The 12444-nt window shown below is 39.8% G+C and overlaps 1 protein-coding gene across 49 annotated transcripts in view, besides 1 other annotated feature; it reads right to left on the bottom strand.

The window, feature by feature from the left end:
• PPFIBP1 (PPFIB scaffold protein 1) overlaps positions 1–12444 on the bottom strand; it is a 171359-nt gene that overhangs the window by 109709 nt on the left and 49206 nt on the right. For 39 of the 49 annotated variants that reach the window (XM_024449232.2, XM_017020059.3, XM_024449234.2 and 36 more), the window contains exon 2: positions 7617–7704. The gene's annotated coding sequence lies outside the window, so the exon portion shown is untranslated. Of the gene's footprint in view, positions 1–6390; positions 6464–6946; positions 7004–7616; positions 7705–12444 lie in introns of those variants that run through there. The other 10 variants (XM_017020056.3, XM_047429753.1, XM_047429758.1 and 7 more) reach the window with 2 other exon arrangements.
• Positions 11546–11840: an enhancer, noted in NCBI's record as "tiled region #6326; K562 Activating non-DNase unmatched - State 24:Quies". NCBI's record gives its function as "activates a minimal TATA promoter and a strong SV40 promoter by Sharpr-MPRA in K562 cells {active_cell/tissue: K562}" and the evidence as "EXISTENCE:reporter gene assay evidence [ECO:0000049][PMID:27701403]".

Below are 12444 nucleotides of genomic sequence, written 5' to 3'. Positions count from 1 at the left end.
CCAATGCTTTTGCTACCTCTTCTTGGAACTGGCCTAATGTGCTACTTCTCCAGTCTACCCTGCTGCCCACCCACTCCCAAATGGGCATTCAAGACCCAGGTTATATTGAAGCTCCTCCGTAGAACAGAGCAGGTTGGAATTAACCTCACTCTGCCTTGTGCCACCACAGCACTTCACTTTTACCCGTAGTTAGTGTACATTTTATCCAGACTTACAAAAATGTGCACTTATGTCTTTCCCTCCCACTAGACAAAAGACCCTATGTTCTGCTTATCTTTGCATGCTCCAAAGCCCCTGGCCCAGTTTCTTGTACACAGTAGCTCCATGATAAATAATTCGTAAAATGAACAGTTAATCTGCAGGAAATAATTTAAACGGATAACATCTGAAAGTGAATGTCATTTCCTTTCAGAAAACCTAACTAGCTTCTACTTTAATTAACTCTCATCCCTGGATATTTATATGAGGGGGGTGCAGGGAGACACAGCGCAGCGTAGATGTTTCCTGAGTGGAAAAGCTCAGTTTTATACAATAGACAAAGCTGGTTAACAAAAGAATATCCACATCTTTCTACTTCTCTGACTACAGACTTATAGTACAAAGTGACTTACAAAGTCACCTCTGTTTTAAATTTAAAAAGATTTTTTTAAAGCCATTGCATTTCTAAATATTCTAGATGTTTAAATTCATTCATTCATTCAAATTCATTTAATGAACATTAACGTGCCAGGGGCTGTGCACGAAAATGAGCATGATACATAACCTCTGTGTCACATGATTACCTTTCACAGTCAGACACTACTGTTTCTGCTCATTGATACACATTTATGCAAGTTAATTTAAGGAACACAGTGGGCAGGAAATGATATATCTAGGCTAAAATGATGCATGAGATTCCTAAGATGCCCTACAGTGGGCCATCAGGCATCACTAAGAATTCCCCCTGCTCTTTCATTCATTTATTTAGGATTCATTCACTTGCTGAGGTGCCCCTAGGTGCTGGCCATTACTACCTTTCATGCCAAGGACATGGGGATACGTGATGTTGTTCCCATTCTCTAAATGTTCAAAGCCTGGCAGCAGGGCTAATTATCGTTTGTTCAACAACAAATGATAATTTCTTGGGCACATTTTCCTTGCCTGTCTTCATCTCACAAGAGCCTATTTAAAAACATTGGTCTGGCTATACCAGCTTACAGTTCATTTTTACCTTAAATTATTGGTTTTCTACATGAACCACACAGTGGGACTGGGAAAGTTTCCGGCCACAATAATTGGGATTATTTTGCTTCTATTATACAGTTGACACATGTGAATTGGCCCACCTGCTAAAATTTGCTTGCAACCCCCACATTAGTACCTTCACACTCATTCACAGACACATGCAAAGGAGCGAGAATTCTCGGTCACCATGGCGGAGTTCCCAGCGCAGGCTGAACAAGACGATGCTCCACTTTCCTGCATCAGTTCAGCCCTCCTGCCATAAAGTGTCCTTTTCATGGTCTATTCTGTGCCACATTTTTCACACGTTTGTACTTGTCGATCAACCCTTGTGCTGTTTAAAATGGCTCCAAGCACAGTGTGGAAGCGCTGCCTGGTGTTCCTGAGGTAATGAGGCCGTGCCTCAAGGACGAAACCAGTGTGTGAGGTCAGCTTCCTTCAGGCCTGAGTTACAAAGCTGTTGGGTGTGTGTCAGTGTTAATGATTCAACAACATATGTGAAAGTGGTATCTAAACAGAAACACACATAAAACAAGGTTGTGTATTGATCAGTTGGCAAAAACACTGTGGTCAAAGGCTCGCAGGACCCTCCCTCTGCATTTCCCCTAGGAAAAGTATTTGGTCATTCAGTGTTCACAATCACTTCAGAGCACAACTACCACAAAAAAAGAAGAATCAACTGATTTTATCAAGTAAAGAGTGCAAAAAACCAGCCATATACCCTGAGTTCTTTCAGCTTTACCTTCTGTGAATTCAGTGGGGCCACAAAGTGAGGAAACAAAAGTCACCCTCTGGATAGAGGTACTTGGTGTTTTCTGTCCTTTTCTGTCCCCCTTGAATTACTCACAGTCTTGCAAAGAAGAGATTGCTGTTCTGCTGGCTAACAAGAGGAGAAAAGAGGTCCACAGGCCAGAAGGACTGTGGGTAAATGTAAATGGATTTTTCTTGGGTGTTGCTGTTTTCCCTTATGAGAAGTCTAATACTTTAAGGTCTGCTACTCTTATTTCCTGCTTGATACTTGGCTTTCAACTATCCCAACCACACAGCAGGCCCAATCTTGTTCAAAGGCCTCTGTGCGACCTCAGGAAGGACCAATATAGACCATGAAGAACCAAAAATCCCACTCTTCTAAGCAAATAATGCATTCTTTAATTTCTAAAAATTTATCAAAAATAAGACAATTTAAATCTCACCAAATCATCCAAAACTTTTGAAAATGCCTTAGAATTCACATTTCTCTTGGTAGAAATGTGACCTCCTTGAGCAGGAAAACAACTTCCGGACTTCAATGTATTGGAAGCTAGCTTCCCTGTTCCAGGAATTCCATGCTTAGAACCAGAAGCATCTAACAGTGTTCCATCCTGTGTCTTCTTAACTCTTCCCCAAGGTTGAGATAATGTTTATTTGTTGAACAAAGCCGTCATCCAAGTGCAGATTTGTTGAAAAGCTTCCAAGCAAGTTGAGAGGCCAAAGCAAGGAGGAAGAACAGCTAATCAGAAATCAAGAGCAAGAAAAGTTACATCCAAAATAGAGTACAAAATGCCCAGAATAGCCCAGAAAGACAGCTGATGACCTTTTCCTCAAAAATATCTTAATATCACAGTACCAAATAGCCTAACTATGTCAAGCCAAGCATATAACAACTACTACAACAGGAAAGGAATTAGGTAAAAAACAAACAACAAGCAAGAAAAGCTGATGGAAAAATAACAATTTGTGTTCTGAACCACAAATAAGAACACAGAAGACAATTAACTGTTGTATTGTAGTTAGGATTACACCACTGGTAAGGGATTACACCTCAGCTCAAGGTAATAGTCACAAGAAACTCTCAGGGCTATTTCAATCGGAAAGCTGCTATAATTTCTACAGTGATCGCACATGTTATCTTCTGCCTAGGGACTAAGTGGATCCTGCTACAATGGCTGTAAATTGCACATCCCTAATTTAAGTCTCCTCTTGGCTGAAGCAGCTCTGGGCTGTGATTTGACCAGGAGACTAGAACAGCGCTACAGTACAGAAGGAATGCAGACCACACCCAGGGAACCCAATCTCATTTCTTTGATTACCATGCATACAGCCTTGAGCTACTGCTAAATAATAGATTTAAGAACTATTGAAATGCCTTCCCCCATTTCTCTACTCCTGAAGCAATGGGAAACCATGGCTCACTGAAACGACGGAGTCAGAACCCAGGTTTCCCCAAAATACCATAACATTAAACCACACATCCACTAAATAGGTGTAAAAAATGCCTTGGACCCTCTCCCCTCTTCTTAAAAAACTGTTGAGGCTATATATTTAAAAGTCATCAGAGATACTTGAGCCTCCTAATTAAATGTATAAATGCATGGAGACTTCAGAGAAAAAAACAACACTTGCTCAGTTATAGAGACAGCATGTATGCACACACACATACACACGCCACTTATTTGATCATTTGCTAAATGTGCAAACTCTTCCTCTGTCTACAGTTACACACTAGCATATCTGTCTCATAAAGGAAAAAAAAAATCAAAGTCATTGGCTGCCAATTTCCTAAGAGGTGAGGAGAAAGCAAAGCAACTGAGAATGAAAAGACTGCTATGGCTTTGACAAGATGAGCAAATAGCTTCTAACAGCCCACAAACTCCATACACACACACACACATACGTACACACACACACGCAAAGCATCTGCTTGAAGAGAGAGTTCTAAAAGCCCAACTAAATCTCTATCTGATGGTAAAAGTGAGCCTAGATATTTGGTAGGAAAAGGAGAAAGCACTAAAGAAAAAAAAATGGAAAAGAAAACATTTTGTGAGTTACATGATGAAACCAAGATCATTTATATATTGTCCAGTTATCACGAACCAATTAAGCACAAAACAAACAACATGTGACACAATCCCAAATAAGACTGCCATCCCCAAGCAGTATTTTTATAATTTTTAGTACAAATTGCATAAAATAAGATTTAGTTCACAAAAGACAGTCAGGAGATAGAAAACCCCAATCCCCACATAATAATGAAAGTGATTTCAAAGACTGCAAAAAGGGTACAGAGAAAAGGGCGCAAAGGACAAATCCACAGTAGATGCTTTTCTTTGGGGATGACATTATCTCAGTGGCTACAAATTGCCTACTTACAAACCACTACACTACAGGGTGGAGTGATGATACAGGCAAGCCTGAGTGAATAGCTAACCATACAGTCCCACAGCCTTCCTTGGCCTAATGCAGAGAAGACAGAGATGAAGCTGGACAAGTGGCTCCCACCTCATTCTTGTACCTGGGCCCATTCAGCCTCAAAAGTGGTACAACCAGACAGCATTCACCACTATCATCCATGAACTCAAGGACCACTGGCACAGAGGAGAGACTAGGGTGTTGCTTACACTCTTAGGCAAACGAAATTTCATATACGTGCCACCTGCCAGAACACCTAAGACTGAAGGTACAGCTGGGAGCAGTGGCTCACGCTTATAATCTCAGCACTGTGGGAGGCCAAGGTGAGAAGATCACTTGAAGCCAGAAGTTCAAGACCAGCCTTGGCAATAAAACAAGACTCTGTCTCCACAAAAAATTTAAAAACTAGCCGGGCATGATGGCACACGCCTGTAGTCCCAGTTACTCAGGAGACTGACGTGGGAGGATCACTTGAGCCCAGTGAGCAAGGATCACATCACTGTACTCCAGCCTGGGCAACAAACCGAGACCCTGTCTCTTAAAAGAAAAAAAAAAAAAGAGTATAATGTATAAAAGTACAAATTTCCTTTGTGCAAAATGACCCTAGTTTCCCACAAATCTCAGCTCCACTGGTCTCTTTTTGAACAAGTAAACCAGTTCAGACAACCAAGAGTGTCTTCACTGACTCACCCTGGGGAGGGACATGTCAAGGACACATGGACAAATGTTTCCTTGCATCCTTCCTCTGAGTTTCAGTCTAAGGTGAGGCAAGTAGAAAAATCTTTTTTGTTAGTATTCACTACACTTAAATTAAAAACCGAAGTCTCATATTTTTAAAAAGTGAACTGAAAACGCTCATAAAGTATCAGATACAAATGGGTAATCTTAGTAACAAGAATGAGAAATAAAATGACTATCATTTTTAGTGCTAGGTCTATGTGCCCTGAAGCATAATACTAACACTATTGTAGTCAATTGTTACAGCAGATTTGGGGGGAATCTTAGAGGCGGAGATTTTACCATCCCCATTTTACAGATGTGGAAGCTGATCCAGAAAGGTCACGAGACAAAGTGGTGGAATTGTGATCTGAATGCAGAAAGGTCTTAAGGCAAAGCCCACATGCTCACATCCCATATTTGTTTGGGAAAATACATTTTTTCCTAGTTCTATACTTTTAAGTTCATTCTGGGCTCAAGATTCATACTTTTAGGGACTGGTTTTTCAAAGCTTCCTTAAAACAAGTTAGGCTTAATGAATTTGTTCAGAAAATTCTTTGAGAGCTCCTTCTGAGCTCAGGCCTGCCTCTATTTTTCTTTCTCTATTCGTCTCCCTAGACACATCGGGTCTCACAAGCTGAGTCTTCCCTGGGGCTCTTACTTTTCCAGGTTCTTGATCTGATTGGTAAGATATCCTGACAGTTTCTATAGGAATCCAGACACATCTCTTTTCTGGATCTATTTCCTCTTCCCCTACATAGTCCCTTCCTGTACCATGCAATCAAAACCCTTCTCTGCCAGGACAATAAGCCCCACCACATCACTCACATATCAGAGAGGGCTTCCACCTGGCCACACCCCACAAGAGTAATCTACAAAAACATCTTCATCTGTTCCTGTTGAGTAAGCAGCTTGGAACATCACATTGAAGCAGACAAATCACTTGGCTACCTAAAGTTCAACATCATTCCAAAGTGCCACGAATTAAAATGACTTTAGTACCTGAACAAACAAAATAGAATCATCACCAAAAGATATGCACAACACATTCATAGAAGCGCTATTAGTAATACACCCAAACAAGAGACCATCTAAATGTCCAGCAACTGTAAAATAGGTATACAATTGAATAGCATTAGAGCAAAGAGAATGCAAAAAATATTGTACATAATATTGTAGATTTCACAAACATAATAAGCAAAACAAGCTAGACACAAAAGAATATTCACTGTATGATTCTATTCATAAAGACAAACTAAACAAAGGCATCACAAGGCAGGATACCGGTTGCTTCTGGAGCATGAGGGGAGGAAGGCTCTGAGGTGCTGGTAATTTTCTACTCATCAAGGTGCTGATTGAAGAGGTGTGTTCACTTTGTGACATTTATTCCCTCAAGCTATCCACTTAATGATGTGTGCACTTTCCTCTACGCATAAGGTCCTTCAGCAAAGAGCTGACTGAGACAGACCCTTGAAAGCATCTGGTCCGTGCCCTTTGGTTTGCATAAGATCAACTGTTTCCCATGGACCTTAGATAGCTCATGGACACAGAGGAAATTCCTGAAAGGACTGGAACTGGACAACAGATCTCTTAGCTCCCCACCCAGGTACCAAAGCTGTGTGACAGGATGTTTCTCTAACTTCCTTTCTTTCTGTGACTCCAGCCAAGGTTTTAAAGGGTGAGAATCACAGTCCTATTATGAATATGATCCAGAAGGTTCCAATCTCTTATTGACATCCATGCCAGGAAAAGCATCTAAGCACGCTTTAGGATATGGCAAATCAGAGAAAGTCAGACAGTTCACACTCACTGACTAGGTGACTGTCAGCACGCTCCTTACCTCTCTCGGATCCTCATCCAGATCACTGAAGTGTTAACTGTTACCCTGCAAGGGTGCCTTGAAGATAAGGTAATAAGTAGTGTCAGGGCCATGCCTGGTACACGGCAAGCATTCAGAAACACTATTTGTAGAATGAACATGGAATCGAATTAATCAAATGCCTGTCACTTGGTAGAAGCTCAATAAATAGTAGTTATTATTACTGAGCAAGAGAAATAGGGAGAAAGTGGGTAAATATGCCTGTGAGAAACCAATACCTCATATTCTAAGCCTACTGGGTCATTAATGGGTCAACTAGCAATTCTCGCTGGTGTAGATAAGGTAGTGAAATGGTCTGTGAGGTGAAGAGTGATGAAGGACTCGAGAAGAGGGCTGTGCTTTTTATTTTATGTTCTACCAAGTCTGTGTCTTCCTTCTCAGTGCCAAATGAAGATTTGCTCACTGCCTGCCACACCGCGTCTAAATCCTACAGCCACCTATGTTATTCATACTACTCTTAGAATTTACAGGTTTTAAAAGGGCGAGCAGATACAAACACTCCTAGACTTAATGAGTAGACTCACTAGAGTCAAGTAACTTTACTCCTGGAAAAAAATTCACACACACTGAGAGGAAATTGCAGGTTTTAGAGAGTCTGAAATGAACCATGGCCAGAAGTGAGTTCACTTACATTTTTAAAAAGCAGGTTTAAAGCTGATTTATTTCAGTTCTTCAAATCTTGGATGTACTCAGCAAAGTGATCCACACGTTCTTTTATACTGAAAAGAAACAAATACAAAAACGACAAGTTAAAATTATAGCACATCAGAAAAAATAAAAGTGGCAAATGGCTGATTATATAAAGAATATTAAACTAGATAACATGAGTGTAATTAAAAACAACAAAACGTGTTAAGGACTTCCTTCCATTCATCCTTTCTCTCCTATCCTCCTTCTTCCTTCTTCCCCGTCCAGCACTCCACCCTTCTCTCCCTTCCTTCCTCAGTTACTGGACAACCTCAAATATTCCCTGATGACTAATTTTTCTGCTGAAGCCACCATCATTAATTTTTATAGCACAAAGTAGTAGTAGCACATGGTAGGTACTCTATGAATGTTTGTTGAGTAAATGAATGAACCACGGTTTTGCAATATTTTGTCGTTAAGGTAAAAAAAAATGGGAAATGTCCACAATTTATTATTTTGTTGTCCAACAGGAACAAGTTGTATAAAATATGTAGAAATACATACACTATTTTTCAGACTTGCATTTTTGATTCTCTTATCTCTTGAATAACTCATACTTAGGGGAAAATCCCCACTAGTATATACAGGAACATATATCCTCACCATGATACAGTAATAAAATATATTTTGGTACTAAAAGAATATTTAAGAACAGTGAACGTTCCTTTTGAGATGCCCTCTCTTCAAATACTTCAGAACTAACTGCATCCAAAGGAGAAAGCAAGGTGTCTCCAAGTTAAATACCAGAGATATTCCCATACATGTTTTACAAATGCATAAAGAGTCAGGGCCAGTTCTAGACAAAATTATGACGTATGGATGTGGCTGTTTCCTTCCTTCTATCTGTCCTTGTGAGGATTCATTAACCCCAGATGTTTAATCAAGTAGGGAAGCAAAAGGATCAGCTCCAAGGTTGCAACAACTTAATGGATATCCTTCATGAGGACATTTTTTATTAAAAAAAAAAAAAGCTTCAGAAAAGGCAGGTGCTTAACAGTGAAATAAAATGCATTACTGGCTATGGCATTTCAGGAATGAATGGGGGTGTGGATTTTCATCGTGGAATTTCTCAACACCCCATCAAATCACATCAGGTAAGTATCTGTCCATTCCTCTTTCTCCTACCACTGGCTTCATATATGGCCCATATATACACACCAATCCCAGCAAATTTTAAGCAACTTATTATATGTAAACAGGCAAGCTCAATTTTAAGACTAGGGTGCGCTCTGAAAGTAAACAGTCATGTTAATGAGCAGTTTTCAAAGTGAGCTCCTAGGACTCCCACCCTAAGATGCTTCAGAGAGCAGAGGCAGAAGTGAGTGGATGTGCAGCCATGGGCACAGCGATTTCACTTTCATCTGTTTCAGACTTAGACACAAGATTTAGTTGGAGAAGTGGTGCCTTGAGCTGTTTATGAAAGAGCTGAAACAATCAATGTTACCAAAGAATAATTAGATTAAAATCTAGTGCAGAAAATCCCAGTCAGTCCACAACACAGCTGATCTAACACCAAAATCCAACCGCCACCTGTCATAGGGCCTTTATGGTAAAATACAAGTCCCAGCCTGAGCCCCAGGGCAGAGGTCAGTCCGGGTCTGAGCAGACAGGAGCTGGGCCTTCTCTTCTTCCCTACTTAGCCCCCTCATCTCCTGCTCTGGAACGTAATGAGCAGAAGGAAGGGCACCTACACTTCCATGAGGACTGAGTCAACAGTAAGAGGGCAAGATTAGGCTGCAGGGGGAGGCTGCAGATGTTCACAAGATGGATAAGCAAAGGTCTCCAGCAGAGAACAAGACATGGCGGGTTTCTGCAAGTCAGTCACTTCCCAGGCCCTGTCCCGATCCCCACCAGCCTCTTTGCTGGGAATTCCATGTGCAAGGTTTACACGCTTCACCTGGATCAGGGCTCTTGGCTAGGAATAAGAAAGGAGAAAATTAGTAGAATAGTTTAAAAAGAAGAAGAAGACAAAAACCTATGTTCTATAAAATCCAATTCAAAACAATATGTTAAATGAAAAAAAAAGCGGTGGGGGATGGGGCAGAGATGGGAGGAGGATTATGAGAAAATAAGTATTGCCTGAATGTGCTCCAGAGAAATTCACATTAACTAACAGGCACTGAGTATATTCAATCCCTCCCTCAGCACAGAGCTCTGATTATTTGGCCTAACCAGGACTGAATACACAAAAACATTTATAAACATGAACCATTATATTTTTTGAGTTTTCATCATAGGACTTGTTTAAGTAAGTCAAAGATGTTCTTTGTTCTACAGTTTTGATCAAATGAAGAGACTTTAGTCATTTCCTCAGAAACAGACTTAAGCTATAAATACTAACTAACCAACATAGCCACTCGCAAAAAATCTCAATGACAAGTTTAATTTGAAAACAAGAACACATTATCGAACTGAAAAGTAAGCCATAAAAAAATCCAAACCCATGCAAACAGCATTTCTAGAAGAAAAACCCTTAGTGAAATGACAAGCATAAATACAAATAGCTTGTTATTTGACTCACAAACCTATCCCATACATAGAGAAGCAAAAAAGAAACCAGTCTATATTTGGGTCCATTTAATCAAACAAACTCTTAACATCCTGCCCACAACCTCAGGTCTCAAATTCCAAGATAATTCTCCAACTGTTAAATAAGTGATTTCTATGGATCTCTTTGAGATAAAAAACACATTTGTTACTATTGCTTATTTTCTAAATCCCTTTGCTATCCTAAAGTATGACCATCATGAGACTAACATGTTAAACAATCATTAAAAATCAAAGTTTCTGTTTATCATAATACATAATGCCATATCTCAGCCTTCAAAATGAAATGGAATCTATAGTCTCCTTTCAGATATGACTTAAGTGTCTAAAGCAAGGGTCTGTAAGAAGGCCAAATGTGGGTCTGCCACCTGTTTTTGTAAATAAAATTTTATTGGAACACAGCCACACCCATACATTTACATTTTGTCTGTGGTTGATTTTTCCAAGACACAATAACAGAGTTGAGTAGTAGCAACAGAGACCATAAGATCCACAAGTATAAAATGTTTATATCTGGCCTTTTAAGAAAAGATTTGCTGACCTCTGGTCTAAAAAGCCTGCTACTTCAGTAGACTGTCTTAAAATAAGAAATGCTAATCCTGGTATAGTCATGTTGCTGGATAATTACCTAAGTCACTTAACCTTTAACTGCTTTAATTTTTTCATTTATGATACACTAATTGTGATATTCGTTGGGAACTTATATACCAGGGAATATTTTAAGAGCTTTGCTCTTAGTAAATAAACAACAAATCTGTTCATTTAATTCTGACAAATATCCTAGGAAAGAAGTAAATTATTTCCACCTTCTAAATGAGATAATCAAGGCAGAGGGGTTAAATAACTTGTCCAAGGTTAAGTAGTGGAGAAATCAGGACCAGAACCCAGGCAGTCCAGCTCCTGAGCTCATTTCTTAATCTTTATGCTACGTTGATAATACTTTCCATTTTATAAATTATACAAAATAAAATCTCAAAAGGTCTGTTAGTTATGTTAGGTCAATCCAGTAAAATATACCTCTGCATAATTTAGGTTAAGATACCAAAAATAAGACTATACATGGACTTCCATGGACTTTTAAGACCCATCTAAGATTAGAGCTAATCTTGGGGTACTGGGAATATAAAAGCTTATCATTCTTTATTTTTTAGCATAAGTAATCAAAGAATCAAGCTAACTGACCAATATCTATCTTTTCCTTGGTAAGTAAGGCCTCTCCAGGAAGTTCAGGCCCTTCAGAAAGGCTTCAGGAGGAAGACTTAGCAGAGAGACTCTAAATCTTCCAAGTTTGTTCCCATCTAGTCTTACCCCCCACCAAGTTTCCATCTGAGAAAACGTTGAGTAAGCATCAACAGACTTTACGGAAAGATTGTTCTCATAGCCTGGCAAAAAGAGCTCTATCCAGCCACAACCATCACATGGTCAGGAAGATGTCCCCTTGCTGAATCACCCCCACCACTTCCTGAAGTTCTCTGGGATTTTGGGAGGAAATATGTCACCTAAATGTGACTCAGTGCCCTTCTGTACTGAAAGATAGGTTTATATGATTCCAAATAAATCGAGAGAAAACATAGCACTAAATTACTCATCACCAAGTCATGTGCAGAGATGGTCTTAATCTTTTTGTTGTTTTGGGCTTTTTTTTTTTTTTTTAAGAGACAGGGTCTCACTTTGTCATCCAAGCTGGAGTGCAGTGGTACAATCACAACTCACTACAGCCTCGAAAGCCTGGGCTCCAGCAATCCTCTTGCTTCAGTCTCCTGAGTAGCTAGGAATACAGGTGTGCAAGCTTGACTAGTTTATTATTTTATTTTTTTGTACTGATGAGGTCTCACTTTGTAACCCAGGCTGGTTTCTAACTCCTGGTTTCAAGTAGTACTTCCATCTCAGCCTCCCAAAATGCTGGGATTACAGGCATGGGCCACTGCACCCGCCGGCTTTTAACCTTCTTTTTAATCACGCTAGTCTCCAACTGGTTTTCAATGTCTGCAGAGTAAAGTCTAGATCCTTGAGTTTGACTTTAAAGACCTTCCACATCTTGTCTTTCTAACTTTTCCAACCTCATCTCCTTCCATGTTTGGTCTTCATGCCTCCAGGATGGCCGGCTTTTTCTTCAGTATATCATATCTACTCCTGTTTCTGAGGCCATACTCATTCTGTACCCTTTGTTAAAGACCCTATTTTCTCCTCTACTACCAACATCAAAACCTATACTAGCAACACAC

This window comes from Homo sapiens, chromosome 12, assembly GCF_000001405.40.
Source record: "Homo sapiens chromosome 12, GRCh38.p14 Primary Assembly".
In the NCBI taxonomy this organism is placed as follows: domain Eukaryota; kingdom Metazoa; phylum Chordata; class Mammalia; order Primates; family Hominidae; genus Homo; species Homo sapiens.
This window is presented reverse-complemented; position numbering and strand designations above follow the sequence as displayed.